The 18863-nt window shown below is 50.5% G+C and overlaps 1 protein-coding gene across 8 annotated transcripts in view, besides 3 other annotated features; it reads left to right on the top strand.

Moving 5' to 3' along the window:
• The window catches only part of NDRG1 (N-myc downstream regulated 1), a 60078-nt gene that overhangs the window by 18376 nt on the left and 22839 nt on the right, over nt 1-18863 (top strand). For 7 of the 8 annotated variants that reach the window (NM_001258432.2, NM_001374847.1, NM_006096.4 and 4 more), the window contains 2 exons: nt 14225-14330; nt 16710-16830. In NM_001258432.2, the coding sequence (NP_001245361.1) occupies nt 14324-14330; nt 16710-16830 (128 nt within the window). In that variant the 5' untranslated portion in view covers nt 14225-14323. The remainder of the gene's footprint in view (nt 1-14224; nt 14331-16709; nt 16831-18863) is intronic. The other variant, NM_001258433.2, reaches the window with a different exon arrangement.
• Nucleotides 12714-13214: an enhancer, noted in NCBI's record as "H3K4me1 hESC enhancer chr8:134277906-134278406 (GRCh37/hg19 assembly coordinates)". NCBI's record gives its function as "activates a minimal SCP1, AML or CMV promoter by ChIP-STARR-seq in primed H9 embryonic stem cells {active_cell/tissue: H9 hESC(primed)}" and the evidence as "EXISTENCE:reporter gene assay evidence [ECO:0000049][PMID:30033119]".
• Nucleotides 12817-13111: a silencer, noted in NCBI's record as "tiled region #3770; K562 Repressive non-DNase unmatched - State 20:ReprD". NCBI's record gives its function as "represses a minimal TATA promoter and a strong SV40 promoter by Sharpr-MPRA in K562 cells {active_cell/tissue: K562}" and the evidence as "EXISTENCE:reporter gene assay evidence [ECO:0000049][PMID:27701403]".
• Nucleotides 18332-18831: an enhancer, noted in NCBI's record as "H3K4me1 hESC enhancer chr8:134272289-134272788 (GRCh37/hg19 assembly coordinates)". NCBI's record gives its function as "activates a minimal SCP1, AML or CMV promoter by ChIP-STARR-seq in primed H9 embryonic stem cells {active_cell/tissue: H9 hESC(primed)}" and the evidence as "EXISTENCE:reporter gene assay evidence [ECO:0000049][PMID:30033119]".

Genomic DNA, 18863 nt, shown 5'->3' with positions numbered 1-18863 from the left:
ACAGCACTGGGAAGTGACTTGCCTGGGGTCACTCAGCAGTGATTGGGGAAGTGGTGCCAGACTCTGGGCCTCACCTCTTCCAGCCCTGAGTGCTCCCCTTGCTGCTTGTGTAGGTTTTAATGATGTTGGTGAGGGCTTCTTACCTGCCAGGTGCTGTGCTGAGAGCTTGCCAGCCAATATCTCATGTAATGCCTCAATATCTCATGATAACAGGAGAGGCACCATTAGCTTTATTTTTCAGATGGGTATACTGAGGCCAGAGTGGAGGGACTGGGAGCCACACCTAGCTCTGCCTGACCAGGAAGGAAGCCCATGTTCTTCCCGCACCACTCATGTGCTGAGGTCCAGGCTTCTCCCATGCCCTGGCCAGAGCTCCATCCCGTTCCTCTCTATGTTGCAGGACGCTGGGCATGCGAAGGTGCTCCAGGAGGGTGGGAGGTGAATGTACTATCTTGAGGTTTATCAAGTCCAAGCCTTCATTTTACAGCTGGGGAACCTGAGGGACAGAGAAAGGGGGAAGTCACTCATTGAGGGTGGCATGGTGGGGCAGCTAAGAGTTATGGTAGCAATCCTCTTTTTCACCCTCCTGAGAATGGGAAAAAATGCACCCAGGGAAGTCAGAGCTGCAATAGATGCAGTGGCTGTGGCACCAGCACCATGGCCTTGGTTATTTGACTGGTTCTCTGAGCTGAGAACAGCTGGAAGTTAGCCCCAGGGGTCATCTGCTCATTCAGGGATGGGCCGGGCCACCCCAGCCTCCCTCAGCCTGATCGAAGCTGCCCTTGCCAACCTTCCCTGTGGCTGAAATGTCAGCTCCTTGTGTTCCCCAGGGGAGCGGCTTGCTGGCACTGAGGTTGTATCTTCCTGCAGTGGGGATGTGATTGTCCATCCTCCTCAGGTGAAGGCCCCATTCCAGAGCCAGGAAGAGTGAAGCGCAAGCCCCATGGGTGCCCTTTCCTGGTGATTGACCCTTAGCACAAGATGCTTCACCTCTGTTTCCCCACCTGTGAAATGGAGACAGTGCTCCAGGCTTGTTAAGTGGTGGTGGAGAGAGGACACTGACAAGGGCCAATGATGTGGTGCTTCCCGCATCAGTGCCGGGCCAAACATCACACACCCTATCCACTAACTATCATGGAGTGTTTTCCCGAATTATTTTTGCTGTTGTGGAAACATACACGTAACATCCAATTTACCAACTTAACTACTTTTAAATGTACAGTTCCGTCATATTAAGTACATTCATATTCCTGTGCAACCATCACTATCGTCCATTTTCAGAACTGTATTTATTTATTTTTATTTCTGTTTAGACAGAGTCTTGCTCTGTCATCCAGGCTGGAGTGTAGTGGTGCGATCTTGGCTCACTGCAACCTTTCTTTACCTCCTGGGTTCAAGCAATTCTCATGCCCCAGCCTCCTGAGTGGCTGGGATTACAGGTGCCCGCCACCACACCGGGCTAATTTTTGTATTTTTAGTAGAGATGGGTTTTTCCATGTTGGCCAGTCTGGTCTCGAACTCCTGACTTCAAGTGATCTACCTGCCTCAGCCTCCCAAAGTGCTGGAATTACAGGCTTGAGCCACTGTACCCCTGGAACTTTAAAACCTGCAGAACTGAAACTCTGTCCCATTAAACAACTCCTCATTCTAGCTTTAGGCAGTCATCCTTCTATTTTCTGTCTCTGTGATTTTGATTACTCTAGATTTTGATTCCTCTAAGTACCTCATACAAGTGCAGTCATACACTATATTATTATTATAAAACTGTATTAATTTGCATTGATTTGTTCTTTGCCAGTGTCTGGCTGGTATAAGTTAGCATCGTGTCCTCAGGGTTCATCCCTGTTGTAGCAGGTGTCAGCATTTCCTTCCTTTTTAAGGCTGAATCATATTCTGTTGTATGTATGCCCCACATTTTGCTTATCCATTTGTCCGTTGGTGGACACTTTGGGCACTTTGGGCTATTGTGAATACTGCTGCTGTGAACATGTGTACAGATATCTCTTTGAGATCCTGCTTTCAGTTTTGGGGGACATATACCCAGAAGTGGAATTGCTAGAGGTATCAGTCCATTCTCAAGCTGCTATAAGGACATATCAGAAACTGGGTAATTTATAAAGAAAAAGAGGTTTAATGGACTCACAGTTTCACATGGCTGGGGAGGCCTCACATTCATGGCAGAAGGTGAAGGAGGAACCAAGGCACGCCTTACATGGCGGCAGGCAAGAGTGTGTGTGTGCAGGGGAACTGCCGTTTATAAAACCATGAGATCTCTTGCTCTTTATAAAACCATGAGATCTCTTGAGACTCATTCACTATCACGAGAACAGCACAGGCAAAACCTGACCCCATGATTCAATTACCTCCCACTGGTTCCCTCCCACGACACGTGGGGATTATGGGAGCTACAATTCAAGATGAGATTTGGGTGGGGACACAGCCAAACCCTATCACTGGATCATATGGTTATTTTGGATTTTAAAATCTTGGTTACCAATTCTGAGAAACCTAGAAAGCATAGTTTATCTGCTCCCTGCGAAGATAATTCCTCACATTTTTGTTTCTCTGGAAAGTCTGCAAAACACTTTTACATTCTCCCATCTCAGGACACAGGCAACTGACCTACTCCCAGGGAAGGTCAACCTATGTGGCTCAGGCTGGGGTCGGCTAAGGCGCTGCCCCTTAGGACATCATTAAAGTGGGGGCCACACAGAGAAGCCTTTGGAAGGATAGAGCAGAGGTCAGGATAAGATTTCCCAGCATTGTGCACCAGCCTGGGCTGAGCCGTCTGAGTTAATTCCCCAAGCTGTCCTATGAGGTCGGAGCATTTTCCCTATTGTGCCTTCCTTTATTTCTTTAACAAATGCCCACTTTGTGCCTGGCATTAGTTTAGGTGCTGGGGATGCAGTGATGAGCATGACAGGCAGTGACCTGTGTTTTCAGGAACCTAAATTCTGGAATAATAGCTCAGCACTGCCGAGCACAGAATGTGTCTGGCAGCATGCCAAATGTGCCCCACGTGTGCTTACGGCGATCCTGTCCCCATCCTACGGAGAGAGAGGACCTGAAGCACAGAGAGGTTAGGGAACTTGCCTGAGATCGCAGAGCTGGAAAGGGGACCTCAAGCCATTTGCTTCCAGGGCACATATTTGAAACCAATCCCGATTCCTCAGAAGAAAGAGTCAAACAAACATACAAACAAGCAAATGTGAGCATTCCAGCTTCTGTAGGTGCTTTGAAGATAACAGTGAAGGGTGATATGGAGCCAGGTGATGGGATAGGGCATGGCTGGGGTGCTGTCTTAGGTTGAGGCTTTTTTTTAAGTGGTGACATTGCACTGAAGTCTAAAAGATAGATAGAGCCAGTCACGTGACAAAGAGACTGGGGATAGATCATTCCAGGCAGAGGTAACAGCACAAGCAAAGGCCTTTCTGATCTGAATTCTGAAATTTCCAAGGGCAAAAATGTGTTATTCCTGTAAGCTGTTAACAGGCTCAGTGTTCCCAGTAAGTCACAATATTTGAGCTGAAATCTGAGTGTTGAATGACACTTTTCAAGGTTGTTACCAAAAGAAAATCTTTGTCTAAAACTGTATTCATTTAGATTTGGCTTCTTAGATTGGAAGGTGTTAGGGACTCAAGAGATTGATGAAAGCGTCCCCCAGATTTTCAGCAGTCTCCAAAATCTTGGGTGTAGGGTTGCTGTAGAATTTCCTTCAGAAGATGCAGTGCAGTGTGACGACGGAAGCTCTCTGGGGCCTGATGGGTTCCAGGGCCAGGAACTGAGAAGGACAGAGCTTTGGTCAAGGGGGCCTACAGGGCGTATCAGCCCGGGGACTGGTCAGCATAATCTGACCTCAGATTCACATGGGAGTTGCAGCAAAGCGACAGGACAGCACCTGTCTGCCATGCACTTCAGTGTCCTCTGATGAGCCAGGCCAGCACTGAGGGCCTCCCACGCCCTCTTGCTGAATCTTTGGGGACCTGTACCATCATCCTTCCTTTACAGATAAGGAAACTGAGGCTTTCCCAGGGGCGGCAGCTGTGAAGTGAGCCACATTGAGCCCAGGGCTGTCTGACGTAGACAGTTCTCTCAACCGTGATGCTTGAGTATAGCCCTGTTCCTGGAAAGGCTGATCAAGCCCTTATGGACTAGATTGTGGTTCACCTTTGACACGTCTGCTTGTCAAAAAATCTAGCCAAGCAGATAATCTAAGCAACACTTCATTGGGCTTATGTTCAGCCTACTGACAATGAGTTGTTGTAGGACTCAAGAGTTGCTGTGCCTTAATGGCAAATGAATTTTATCTATTCATTTAGTTGGTTTCTTACCTGCTTGTTAAAATAGGGCTCCCTCCTGGGCAGTTCTTGCCCTGGGCATAGCTTCCCTCCTGGTCCAGTCTAAGGAGTCTGAGTCGCTTTATTTTGTGTATCTGAAAGCAGCCGATGTCATTCCTTGAAAAATAATTACTGCTTCAGCACTTTGACTAACTCAGGCAGATTCCTACTTCCTTTACCAATGTAGTCAATAATTTAGGCTTTTATTGTTTTTGTTTTTTAAATGAATCAAAACACACACACTGAGCCCAGAGCTCGGCACTGAGGAGCTGCTGGCGGAGTCTGCATTGAGCTGCTGGGTGGCCTGTCTCTGGAGACAGCTCGCCTGCCAGAGCAGATGGCATCAGGCCTTATCTCTCCATCACTGGCATCGCCTTTAGGCGGTCTCTTTGTTTTGTCCTGGGTGATGTTCGGGCAAAGTGATTGGTGATTTGCATATGAGGTTCTGCCAGCGCTGTCAGGCCCCCACCTGGCTCTGGTTCCTGAAAAGATTCCAGAACCCTCAGGGCACGGGGTGGGCGGGCTGCTGGCCTAGGTGTCCGGGTTGCAGGAAGGACACGGTCTGATCTGGCTCGGCTGAGAGGCCTCCAGCATCAGGTTTTAGGCAATTGTGTTTGCAGATTTGATGAGTAGGGAGGGGGGGAGTATTTTGGGTTCCAGCTTATTTTCTTTGGCTAGAATTCTAGAGTCCAAGACTTCTGCTCCAGTTGGAGAGCTTTGTGGAAGGCCACCTGGGGGAGGGAAGAGGAGGAAGAATGAATATTTGCATACTCATTGTCTCAGGGCTTCCCTGCTAAGGTGAGGGGTGTTGGCCTCTTTTGCAGATGAGAGACCCATTTGAAGATGTTAGGGAACTTGCCAAAGGGTACTGTAGAGATAGTCCTAGACTTAGATCCATCTGCTTCCGAAAAATGTTATAGTCATGGAAGTCGTAATGGCTGGCCTCTCTTGAGCTCTGCTGTACGTCAGAAACCGTGCTGGGCTATTTTCCTGCATCCGCTCATGTGATCCTCATGAAACCTTGTTGAGGGAGGTATCCTTGCCATCTATCCTTGCCATCCTTGTTTTATGTTGAAGATACGAGGCCCAGAAAATCTGGAGGGATTTGCCCAGTGTCACGCCATGGTGAGATAGATGGTGAAAGCTGATTCAATCCACACGTCTGGAGCCAAAGTTCATTTAACGAGTTTTGGGGAAGGGACAGCAGAGTTGACTTCATCACCGATAAATTGTACCTCGTGGGCCGAGTGACTTTCTGTGGCTTCAAATTGCTTTTTCTGTTGGATTTGCTGCTTCTAATTCCCTCCACCTGGATCTTGAGTTATTCAGATGGTTAGATTTGATTTGGTTTCCATGGGAATCTGTGTTTGTGTGCTCACCAGGGCTCTGTGGGAAATGAGCTGATGTGACCCACAGGGCCTCCGTGTGGAGTGGTGGAGGGGGCTGGGGCAGCACCAGGGCCGGGCAGGGCTCTGGAGGTCTGGCTCCCGTTCTGCTGCAAGGCCTCTTGTTCAGCAGAGCTGAGCTGGTCTTAGGGATGTACAATCCCATTCGGTGGGGGGGCTGTTTTCCCTCCTTTTCTTGGAAGCGGACCAGCTCACAGGGAAAATGGAAATGGTGACCTTTTGCTAATTTCTCTCTTTCCACACAGTTGCTTCTTGTTTTCATGCCCCATGACTGAAGGTGGGCAGAACTCAGACAGAAGCCTGGAAATCCTAAACTCACCATTTCCCATTCTCGCCCTCCCCCAGCCCTACTTCCTAGCAAAGCCATTGGGACTTAGAGCAAACCCTTAGAGTGACAGATGGCAGGAACGCTCATCTGGATCAGCACAAAATGAGACTTTGGAAAATAAACACAGCATACTTCTGCAATTCTGCTGTGGGTTTCCTAGGAGCACCCTCCAATGGAACAGGAGAGGTGGGGCTCATACCCAGGCCTCCGAGGTGTGTCCAGGCCAGGCTCTGCCAGGCTGACCTCACTCATCTCCTGGTGTCCCAGAAAGGGTGCAGTGAGCGGCAGCGAGTGCAGACCCAGCCCTGTCATTTGCTACTCGCGTGTCCTTGGCCACTCGCTTGACCTCCCTGGGGCTTAGTTTCCTAATCTGTGAAACAGTGGGGAGCATCGCTGTCCCTGAGCACATTGCAAACACTGAATGCACACAGCAGCGGGCTCAGCTCACAGGTCTTTGTCGCCCTCCCCTGCTCCATGGATGATGGGGTCTGCTCCATCTCTTCACCCTAATCCAAACAAAGATGTTCTTCCTAATTCTTGTTTCCTTGGAGAACTGAGGTCTTCAGCGTGGGTTCCAGTTGCATGCTGTATTCCCAGGCTGACACCTTCTGCCCACTGCAGCCTGTTCCCTGACCCTCTGTAACTTTGTTTAATTCTCTTGACCTGATGTCAACATAAAAGAAGACTGGGGAATGAAGCGAGAAGTGACAGGCCCAGCTTGACCTCTTGAAGGTCTTCCATTGTGTGAGGCTTGCAGGGGAGTCTTGGCTTTGGAAGCCCAAGGACCTATCTATCTTGAATCTTAATTCTGTTATCTCATTGGGCACCTATACTTCAGCCCCAAAGGCTGTTCAATGGCTGTCATGATATAGCACAGGAGACAAAGCTGGCTTTATCAGACTTGCTCAGTAAGTGGGTGGCTGTCTTTTTATCGTGTTCCTCCTGGCTACACACACACCTCCCCTGGTTATCTCTGGTACTTTATGTGTTCTTTACTCCTTTTTTTTTTTTTTTTTTTTTTTTTTTTAGACAGGGTCTCCCTTTGTTGCCCATGCTGGAGTGTAGTAGTGTGATCTCGGCTCACTGCAACTGTGACCTCCTGGGCTCAAGTGATCCTCCTACCTCAGCCTCCCTAGTAGTTGGGACTATAGGCGTGAGCCACCATGCCTGGCTAATTTTATTTTTTGTAGAAAGGAGGTCTCATTATGTTGCAGATGCTGGTCTCAAACTCAAAGTTACAGGTGTGAGCCATCACACCTAGCCTATGTTTGTTACTTAATGGAATGGATCATTAAGATGAATGGCACTGCTGTGTCTCCACCTCCTCCTCCATGGGCATAGGCGATGAACCAGGAAAATATAGGGGGAGGAGTGTATCATTTTATGAAAAGATGGTGGGGAGGGGGCAGGCCCCTGACATTCTCTCTTGAGCCTCTGTTCCCATGATTTGCCTTTCTTGCTGCCATGGGCCTTGACTTTATGCTGATGAGCCATAGTCAGCTTCCTGGACAGCTGTTCCAGAGGGCACCGTAACTGCTCTGGCCATGCTTGGACCCCACTTGCTAGACTGAGGGAGGGTCACCAAGCCCACCAACTGACTTAGATCCTGGGTATGCGGTGATCCTCTTAGAGCCTAGAACGGTCGGCATCTGCCCAGGGCCTGCTGGGAAGGAGGGGATTACCAGGGGCAGCGGGGAGACAGTCACAGCTGGCCTCCAGAGCCCCTCCGGATCATCCAGAGAGTTGACTTAAGCCAGTGGGGCTGGCCCTGGGAGCTTCACACTAATCATCTCTGGAGCGGTTGTCCATAACAACTGACATGGAGGGAAATGCTGCAGCTTGCAAAACACATTCAGGTCTGTACCATGGTTTTAGTCTTGGGAGCATCTTAATGGAGCAGGAGGCCTTGTCATTGACCTCAGCTTACAACTGATGGCAGGGATTGTCAGAGAAGGCTGATAACTTGGCCAAGGGCACGTGGTGGTTATATCATTAGGATAAGTATTGCTCAAAAAACAGTGCTGTGCCAAGGAAATGTTTGCTATTCTCACCAACCTAGAAAGCTAACACCCCAGCTATGAATGTCACCCAGCCCAGCTGGAGTTAGTCCTTACAGCTTCCTACTGTCACCTGAGCATGCGGCTTTGGTCCTCAGATTGGTAGGATAGCCACCGAACCCCCAAGCATCTCATCCATGTTCCAAGTAGGATGCAGGCAGGAGGGTGAAAGGACAAGAATCAAAAGGTCAAGTTTGACCCTTTTTAAAAAACTCTCCTTGAAGCTACAGGAATTTTCTGCTGGCATTTCATTGGCCAGAACTGAACCTCCTGACCATCTTTGGTTACAAGGGAGGTGAGTAAGGAAGGGGACCACTTTATCAGGCACTTTGCTGCTTAGTACATCAGTTGGAATTCTATCCTCAAAAAGAAGGGAACAACAGATGTTTGGGATGCCAACCAACAGAGTCTGCCATAGTTTTAAAGCTCCCAAGCCAGGGTTGACAGCCAAAGAGATGAAATCTTTAAGGCATGCTTGGTGTTAGGTCCTGTTTCCCCACTTGACAGCTTCCAGGCGGTGTAGACCATAGTGGTACGTGCCATGGTTGCTACTTGCCAGCATATAGGCAGTGTAGACTGTAAATCTCTAAGTGTACCCTCCGGGCCAGACTCTGTCAATTGGAGAGCCAGCCTTTCCCTCTGGGAATTGGCGGCCTGGCTGGGGAGGCAGCTGTTACACATATATTTGTAATTGTGGTCGTGCTGCAAAGAAGAGAACAGGGTTTGCATGGCATGTGTATGGTGGGTAGCAGGAAGGAGGAGGTGACGTCTCATGTCTGTGCTGAGGTGTTTCCAGTGTTGGCACACTTCCTCACAAAGACACACATGCGTGCAGTTTGGGGGCAGGTGCCTGTTTTAGGAGGATGGGAGCAGCAGATATTATTTCTCGATTCTGTTTGGTAGTGGAACAGCCTGTGCTGCATGGATGGCCAGTCCTTGGAGACGCTGGGGAGGTACGAGTGTTTTGCAGTCAAATAAGTGTGGGAAATCTGACTTGCTGCATCCCCTTTAGGGAGTCACAGTGCACGTTGCAGAGAAAGGTTTCCTTCCCCTCTTCTGCCCGGCACAGAATGTGAAACAGGATGTTAAAGAGAACAGGCTTTGGATGCAGACATTCGAATCCAAGCTTGGTTCAGATCCTGCCCCATTATTCCAGCTGTGTGGCCTTGGATGAAGTCCTTAATCTCTCTCAGCCTCAGCTTTCTCATCTCTGCAATGGTTGTTCCGTGTATTTAATGAGAAAACACGTGTGAGAAACTCAAAGCAGGCATGGGGTAAGATGCAGTGGCTGTTTATTACTGCCCCCATCCCTGCCATCACCTCTAGACTTGAAAGAGCAGCTTTCTAGACTCTTCCAGAGCAGGTGAGAGGAAAGTGTGTGCAGCCAGGTTTTTGTCTTTTCATCCTCTTGTCTGGATCAGGCCCTGTGAGCAGGGTCTTCTGTGGCCTGGTCCTGAACTGTGGAAGAGCTGGGTGTGGGGCTCTGGATGGTGGAGGAGTTGTGTTTGTGTTGCCAGCCTTGTCCCAGCCAGAAGTTGGGGGGTCCCTCATGAGCTTCGAGACAGGCAATTTGCTCTCTCAGGCAAGAGGACGAACAGTGCACCTTGCAGTTCTGATGTTCTGGGTTCCTTGTGCTTTCTCTTTGGGAAAACATAGAAGACACGGGATGGGTTCCTCTCTCCAGAACACTGAGTGATTGATCCCCGCAGGGACAGAAGGACAGAACATTCCTTTGGGACTGAATAGGACAAAGGCCTGTGTTTGTGAGTGTTGTAATTCTCCCATTCAATCTCAGACAGTCTTCTTGACTGGCTTAGAACCGCGTGCGTGCACGTGTGTTTGTTGGTGGGTGTGTTTGTTGTGTGTGTGTGTGTGTGTGTGTGTGACTTAGGGGATGGGACTTGGGTACAGGGAAGATGACAACACTTGCTTTTTTCCTCCTCCTCCTGTGTGTGCTGGGGGGCCAGGAACTGAGTGGAGGACCGATGGGGGCCAGCAGACCCTGGCACAAAGGAGCAAGGGCCCAGCGGAGAGAGTTCGAATCCTAGTTCTACCACCACAAACCTATGACCTTGGGAGAGTCCCTTCAACTTCTTTACCTATAAAATGGGATTGATGGGCCTCCCGGTGGCATGGAGGTCTGATACCCTGCCTTACTCTTCGTAGGCGCTTAGCAAATGTTCTCCCTCACCTCTGCTCACCTATGCCTGGGAAGCAGCCCTGCCCCTGTGTGACCTTCACCACTTCACTTCCATGTTCTCAGACGGGGTCTTTGTCCTTCCCACCAAGGCTAGCAATGTCGAAAGCCTCTTTTTTGAGTCCTGCTCAGGCTGAGGTTTGGGGCAGTGATGAGGCAGCAGCCAGGGTCCTGACACTCATGAGCTGGGGTGAAGTGTTAGTGCTCTGTGAGGCTCTCACCAACCCTGGGGGTCTTATCAGGAGGGAGCTGAGCATCTCATGGCCAATCCAAGAGCAGAGTGGGGAAGATCCCAACATGGATCGATGCCCTTAGGAGAGAAAGTTCCTTTCTAGGGTGTAATGCTCACCATCATCTGTCGGGATCAGATCTCTTATCCAGCAGATACCGGGTGCCCACTGAGAGCAGGCAGCTATGCAGAGGCCTGTGGACAGAAAGTGAGTGAGACCTAGGCAGCCTTTCCTTCTTGGACTGAGGAATAGATCCTCCAGTTTAGTTCTGGTTCCATGGCTGTATAATTTTAAGACCTTCAAAGAGATGAGTCAAAAATCTGCTACCCACTCGCAACTCCGGGGGCTGCCAGGGACATTCTTGATGCCAGCTGGGGTGGCGTGTCCCATACCTGCTGCCACATTAGTACCCTCTGCTGCCTGCACCGGGAGTCCCCATCCTGCCTGGTGCTGTGCTCTGGGCTCCGTGCAGGTGACTCCTCTCCTGCTATGGAGTCTGGGGTGCAGGCGGCCCTCCCAGCTCAGGGGTGAGGACCTGGAGGCTCGGAGGTTGGGGAGTGGTAGGACTTGGATTTGAACTCCGATGTCCGTGGCGGTGGGGACACCGCCTGCCCTGGCCTGTCTTTTAGAGGGAGCCATGTGGGTCAGCTGGGGAGACAATGAAGAATGTGCCCCCACAAACAAATGGACCTTTGTTCCCACAGTGGCTTCAGGGCTGGGCTGGGCCCAGCAGATGATCTCCGGCCCCCTGGAAGCTGGGCCACTGCTCCCTCATCTATGGATTTTTCCAGTGCCTGTTATGGGCAGGAAAGAAGTGTTGGGCCCTGAGGGGCAGAGAGGGGAGAAGGGAGATGGGGCTGAGCTCTGTGTGCCAGGGGACTTAACGGTGTTGGGGGCTAATGCAGGTGCCAGGATGACCCCGTGCTGGGCGGGCCCGGGTGCTCCCAGGGGGCTGGGCCTGGCCCTGTACAGTGCCTCTTTATGTGTCACCACCCTCACCTGGTAACCACTGCTGCGTCCCTGTGCCATTCAGGAACAGGGAACTTTTAGGTAACCTTGAGGAGGGCGGAAACCCAGGGCAGGCGAGTGAAGTGGCAATTGAGAAAGAGTCACGACCACCCTCTGCAGGAGTTTAGATGAACATGGCAGGTGAGAGATTGGTCCATGAGTGAGCTGGGGTGCTTGTCTCCTTTCTGCAGAAGCACGATGGTGGCCTGGGGCTGGCTGGCTTCGGGGTTCTCCAAGTGAGTGTCGGGAACCCCTGCACTCCTCCGCTGGGGAGGGGGAGGTGGTGAGTTCTTGTTGGAAACTCAGTACGGAGCTTTCATACGCTGCGGGGGAACCTGGGAATTGGATGCCATTTTTCTTTATTTTTGAACTTGTTCCTCAGGTTGAGAATCGTTGGTCTTAAGGGATTCAGGAGGCTTTCCTGGTCCCATTCCCAGCAACCCCCCAGTGGGTTAAATCCTCTTTCTCCTTTCTCAGAGGACCCAGAGGAACTGCAGCCCCCCGGGGCCATTTCCACTGCCCCCACTAGCTTGTGAGTTGTCACCCACTCGTCCCTGCGGGGACAAAGGGGACCTGGCATACAATAGGTGCCTAATGAATGTTTCTCAGATGAAATTGAACTGCCTTAAGTATCAGGGGTAAGAAGTAGCAGAGGTGGAATCCGATCACCAGCGGGTGTGGATGGCGTGGGGGTGGCTGCCTCGTACCACTTCACGGGGGGTCACTCACAGATGGAGCAGCCTACATTCTCTGGGCCTTCAGCACCTCTAGGAGGTAGGAAGGGCCAGGCTGTTCCTGTTTTAAAGATTCAAGCTGGGGAGGAGGTGACTTGCCCCCACAGGGTGCCTAAGTGGTGATCTGTCCCATCCCTTCTTCTCAAGCGTGAGTTTGTGAACGCTGACCTTCCTCTCTGCTGCCACACGGCAGTGATCTGTATGGGTCGCATTTCTGCCAGCTTCTAGAAGCAGGTTCAACAGCATTTAGAGTGTTCTGTGTTCCACTTCACTGCCTCATTTAATCTTTGGAAAATCAATGCAGCGTGCTGAGCTGAGGTGGCCTCGTGAGGCCTGAGTGTGCGCCGCTTGCGGGCGGGTCAAGTGCTGAGAAGCCTGGGGCCCCGCGGAGGCTGATTGTCTGGGGGACCTGCCTCTGTGCTGCCTGCCCGTGTGACTCTGGGATACTGACTTCACTTCCTCAGCCAGCTGGGTCACATGGCTCTGGCAGGGCTCCTGTGAGGGTGAGGACATGGAGGGACATGGTTCAGCACTGCCTTGACACCTGGCAGGTCTCAGCAGCCTGATGGCCTTGCCTCCTGCTCCCCAACTGCCCTGTGGGAGCAGAGCCCAGAGTGGGGCACTTCAAAGGGGAGGTCACTGCTCTCAGATGTGGAAATTGCTCAAGGGAGATGAGTGACTGGGGTCCTCGGGAACTTCTGGTTGACCTTGAGGAGGGCGGAAGCCCAGGGTAGGCATGGGGTGAAGGGTGAGTGGAAGTGACAATTGAGAAAGAGTCACGACCACCCTCTGCAGGAGTTTAGATGAACATGGCAGGTGACAGATTGGTCCATGAGTGAGCTGGGGTGCTTGGAACCAAGGCAGGGTGCCTTTTTTTTTTGTTTTCCAGAGGAAGAAAGGTGAGCAGGTCTTCAGCTGTTAGGAAGGTTTGGTGCGGAGAGGTGCAGGGATGACTGGGAGTAAGCTGGCTGGGGGTCACTGGCCGAGCTGGAGAGTTGGCCTTGACCCAGAGAACCATCTGGCTCAACAAGAAGGAAGGGCAGGAGGGAGGATGGGCATGGTATCATTCAGAATCTTTTGGTCAACTCAACATGGCTTACATGGGATTGGAAGTTGGTGGGCCGTGTAACTGAAAATCCCAGGTGGTGGATGCCATCCCCAAACCGTCTTTCACTCTTTTCCATCCCTGGGCTGGCCATACTTTCAGGCAGGCCCTTGCCTCACGGTGACAATGTGGCTGCTACAGATCCAGCCCTCCCAACCTTGCTCCATCAAGTCCGATCCAGTTCCCCAATTACTAGAAATAAGTGCAGCTGGCTTTAGTTGGCCTGAGCCAACCCATGTGTTCTTTCCTGATCCAGTCCTTGCAACTGGGAGGTGGAGTGCATGAATTGGCCTTGACTTGTGAAACGTGGGGAGGGGGGTCACTGTCAACAGAACACTTAGGACTGAGGGTGAGGGTTGGGTGGGTTCCTGAAGGAAACTGAGGGCTGTTCTTGGAAGTGGGGAGTGAATTCTGTGTAGCCCCAAGCCAGCAGATGTTAGTCACAGGTACAGTAACCTGTGGGGCCAGTGGGGCCTGAGGGCAAGGAAGCAAGGAAGCGCAGGCTTGATGGCCTGTTTTCCAGATGGAGCAAACAGTCCGGGGCAGAGATGGTGGCGGGCAAGCCCTTTCCCCAGCATTTGGTGCATTTAACAGCGCAGTCTGAGCCAGGCCTCTGTCCCCTGCCTCCTGGGAGTCCCCTCCTAGCCCTGGTCCTTGGAGTGGCTTCTGGCCAGAGAGAGCTGCTGCCCGAAGCCGGGGCTCTTATGGCCAGATGAGAAGAGAGCTTCCTCAAAACACAGTTGGAAACAGGCTGGCTGTCTTCAGCCACGCGGATGCCATGAACCCCACATGACCAGCCCACTGTCTGCTGTGTCTCCTCAGGAGCAGGACATCGAGACTTTACATGGCTCTGTTCACGTCACGCTGTGTGGGACTCCCAAGGGAAACCGGCCTGTCATCCTCACCTACCATGACATCGGCATGAACCGTAAGTTCTGAGGAGCTCTGATTCCCTGTCAGCCGGTTCCCAAGAGAGTGGCGGAAAAAGGCAGCCGAGAAGGGCTGATGGCCGGGAGCTGGTGGTTTCTTTTTGCCTGGGACTTCCTGGGGCTGTTCTGGGAAGAACTCTTGCCACAGCCTGGAAAAGCCAGAAATGCGCTGCATGTGGGCACGGAGTTGTCTGTGTGCCCGGAGGCGCTGGGAACACAGGAAGCTGTTTGCTATCTGTGGCAGTGACTTCTATATTAATGCACGCATATGGTTTTCAGTCTTTTCACAGAATTGTGCAACGATCAGCACAATTTTGGAACATTTTCATCCTTCCAAAAAATCCTGTACCTTTTATCTGTCACCCCACCCTCAGATGACTGACCCTTCATTGACTTTCCTTTTCTGTGAATTTGCCTGTTCTGGAATTTTGTATACATTGAATCAAATAATATGTGATTTTTTTTTGGTAACTGGCTTCTTTCTTAGTGCTTTCAAGGTTTATCCAGGCCATGCATTAATATTTGTATTTCCTTTATTCCTTTATTGAATAATAATATTCCATTGTATGGATTTACCACACTTTATTCGTTCTTTTTTCTTTTTCTTTCTTTCTTTTTTTTTTTTTTTCTGAGACAGAATCTCGCTCTGTTGCCCAGGCTGGAGTGCAGTGGTGCGATCGTGGCTCACTGCAATCTCCACCTACTGGGTTCAAGCAATTCTTTTGCCTCAGCCTCCCAAGTACCTGGGATTACGGGCACCCACCACCACGCCTGACTAATTTTTGTATTTTTAGTAGAGACGGGGTTTCACTGTGTTGGCCAGGCTGACCTCGAACTCCTGACCTCAGGTGATCCACCCACCTCCACCTCCCAAAGTGCTGGGATTACAGGCATGAGCCATTGGGCCCGGCCATCTATTCTTCAGTTGATGGGCATTTGGGGCATTTTCACTTTTTGGCTGTGTGAGTAACTCTGCTACGAATGTTTAGACTGTGAATTCCAAGATTACCAGGAGGGTTTTCTTAGGTGGGTTCCCCATTTTTCATAGATGAGAATGGAATGGAAGCTACTGAATGTTGAAATTTCATGGAATAGAGGTGAATTCTTCTGTGAGGAATCAGAAGACACAGGTTTCACTGGTCCCGTAATTTTTATGAACTTGAGTATTGCAAGCTTGCTTGATTTTTGACGATGGACTGCCTGATTTTCATTTGTTTCTATAAAGCTTATTAATACCTTATTAATACCTTGAGGCTGGGGATGGTGTCACTGAAATCCACTGAAAACACTTTTTCACTTCATTCTCACCTTCTTTTATCTCACTTCTTCCCCTGTCTGTTTCCCTTATATCCATTTTGTACCAGGTCCATGCTAGGTATTTTGATTTACACTATCTCATTTTATTGACTCTGACAAGGAACTGGAATTGCATATGGCAGCGTCTCTCCCCATTCGGAGAGGCTCATTGTTGGTTTATAATAGGCTTACCACTGTAACAAAAGATGCCAAGCCCTCTGTGGCTTAACACAGTATATGTTTTATTTCTCGCTCATGTAACAGTTTAGTGGGTGTTTAGTGGGACATGTTCTATTTGGCAATTCAAGGACCCAGGCTCCTTCTAGCTTGTGGGTTTGCCATCCCCTGGGGCTGCAGAGCCTTCTGCTGGAAACTGTGCTTCTGGCAGGTAGATGAGAGAAGAGAGAAACTTAGAGGATCTTAGAGAATCTGGGTGGCAGGTATGGTGAGGAAATGGTGACGGTCACAGGCTATCGGCCAGAAACAGATCACATGGCTGCCTCTCATTGCAAGGGAGCTTGGGATATACCGTCTAGCTGAGTGCCCAGGAGGAAAAGGGACAGGAGGTAGGGTGAGCAGCCCGACTTCCTTAGGCTTCAGCAGTGAGGAGACTCATCCAGGCCACATGAAAGGAGGAGGCACGCCTCACCTCCCATGCTCCTCCTCGTTTGAAAATTATGTGTGTCCTGGACCAGTACCCCAGATGGGAGGGTATAGTGGACCCAGATGGAAAGAGAGGATCAGGAGGGCAAAGCCATCTCATGCCAGGGCCATCCTGACCCTGGCTGACTGGAGGAGCTACAGGAGCCAGCCTGGGAACCCCTTCCAGCACCAACTGCAAGACTCATCTGCCAGCTACCACTCCCTTGCCCCATGAAACTTACTCTTGCTTTTTATCAGCAGAGGAAAGTGGGCATGGGGACAAAACCAAAAAACAAAAAACGCCAACATCTGTGTTCTTCTAAGTTCACTTCCTACTTCTGAATAGGAATGAAACAAAATGAATGTGCTTTGCCACCGAGACACCTAATTTTTTTCTCATCTTACTTTTTTCTCTTCTCTCCCTCACTGCTGTTCTTCAGACAAAACCTGCTACAACCCCCTCTTCAACTACGAGGACATGCAGGAGATCACCCAGCACTTTGCCGTCTGCCACGTGGACGCCCCTGGCCAGCAGGACGGCGCAGCCTCCTTCCCCGCAGGGTGAGAGGCCTCTTGCCCTATGAGCTCTACAGGGTGGAAACTGGGTGTCGGGGAGGGGTTCAGGTGCTTTGCTCTTTTAAATACTTTTTAACTGTGGTAAAATATAAAACGTATCATCTTAAGCACTTTTTAAATTGTGGGAAAAGATACATAACATAAAAGTTAGCACTTTCACTATTTTTAAGTATATAGTTCAGTGGCATTAAGGACATGCAGACATTGTTGTGCAGCCGTCACCACCATCCATCTCCAGGACTTTTTCATCTTCCCAAACTGAAACAACATACTTATCAGATACTATCTCCCCATTCCCCCAGCCTTCCTGCAAGGCTGGCGTTACGATAGGTGTGCTCAGCCTGGACAGGACTTCAGTGGAGGAGGACTTGACACCACCAAATAGTGTGAAGAAAAACCTAGAAGTCTGGGGAGAAACAGAGAGGGAGAGAAGTAACATTGATGGAGCCCTTCCTGTGGGCTAGGCTTCATCATTTGTGTCTAACACTGGGCTTAATCCTTACAGCTAGCTCTGTGTGGCTGCTGTTGTTAGCTCCATTTTCCAGACAAACATATTGAGGCATGGAGGCATTAACTACCTTGCTGAAGGTTGCACAGCTGAGGCCGGGCATGGTGGTTCATGCCTGTAATCTCAGCACTTTGGGAGGCCAAGGTGGGCGGACCACCGAGGTTGGGAGTTTGAGACCAGCCTGGCCAACATGGTGAAACCCTGTCTCCGGCCAACGTGATGAAACCCTGTCTCCACTAAAAATACAAAAATGAGCTGGGCGTGGTGGCGGGTGGCTATAATCCCTGCTACTCGGGAGGCTTAGGCCAGATAATCCCTTGAACCTGGGAGGCAGAGGTTACAGTGAGCCAAGATCGCACCACTGCACTCCAGCCTGGGTGACAGAGCAAGACTCTGTCTCCAAAAAAGAAAAAAAGGTTGCACAGCTGATGACTGGGGAGTTGGCTTTGATCCTATCTACTGAGACGTGTATCCTCTTTGGAACATCAGGCTGCCTTAGTTGAGAGTATTTGCACTGCCTGGCCCTTGTCAGCTCGTGATCTGTATGGGCATGGCCTTTCAATTTCCCCTTGTGCAATTATGGTCAAGCTTGTTGGATCCCCCAATCAGCATCATGTGGGGGTGGCAGACCTCAGAGATAACCCCTCTTGTCCCTGCACCTGACCTGTGTTTAAACTAGGGCAGGAGCAGGTTCTTGGGCTTAAAGTCTTCCAGAAGGGGCCTTCTTGGCATTTATAAATAGATATCCTTTTTTATTAGTGTTCAGAATTATCCTTAATAATTAACCTTTATCAGAGAGGAAGGGAAGGGACAGCCAACCGTATGGGGCCAGGACCAAAAATTAAAAGTGTATTAAAACAGTGGGACGTGGTTAATTGTTAACCAGCAGATAAAGCCAGAGGTGTGTCCGTAAATCTTTGGTTGGACCAGTTGTGTGAAAGACTTGGGGGAAAGCAGAGACTCTTAGTTCCCCCTGGTGAAGTTTTACAAATATTCTGAGGCCTGAGCCCCACCCCCAGGAATTTTTATTCCGTTGGTCTGGGTATTACAGCGCATTTTCCCCCTAGTTTACTATGTGGTTTTCGTGTGCATCTGGTGGGACCCACTGTCAGAGTGGGACCTGACTTGTTTCTTCCTCCTGGAGTAGGGCAGAGGAGAGTGTGGGGCTTGGGAGGGGTGAGGGAGCATCTCCCAGGCCCTTTAAGGGTGAGCCCCCTGTATTCTGAAGCCGAGACAGCAGAGCAGGGTAGGGGATCCCTGGCTGGGCTCCTCCTGGCCCCGGTGTCCACCACCTACACAGGAGGGACCTTGGAAGTAGAATTCTGCTGCTTCCTCGCCTCACACCAGCCCTGGGGAACAGGGAAGAAACAGAGGGCCCTGCAATTAAGTGGCTTCTCCAGTGTCACACCTTAGGAGCTGCTGGCTCCAAATTGAGCCATGGCCATTTCAGAGGAGCTTCATGTCTTTGCCGCACTTCTGCCCTGCGGCTTCTCAGCTCAGTGGCTCTGTT

This window comes from Homo sapiens, chromosome 8 (assembly GCF_000001405.40).
Source record: "Homo sapiens chromosome 8, GRCh38.p14 Primary Assembly".
NCBI lineage: Eukaryota > Metazoa > Chordata > Mammalia > Primates > Hominidae > Homo > Homo sapiens.
This window is presented reverse-complemented; position numbering and strand designations above follow the sequence as displayed.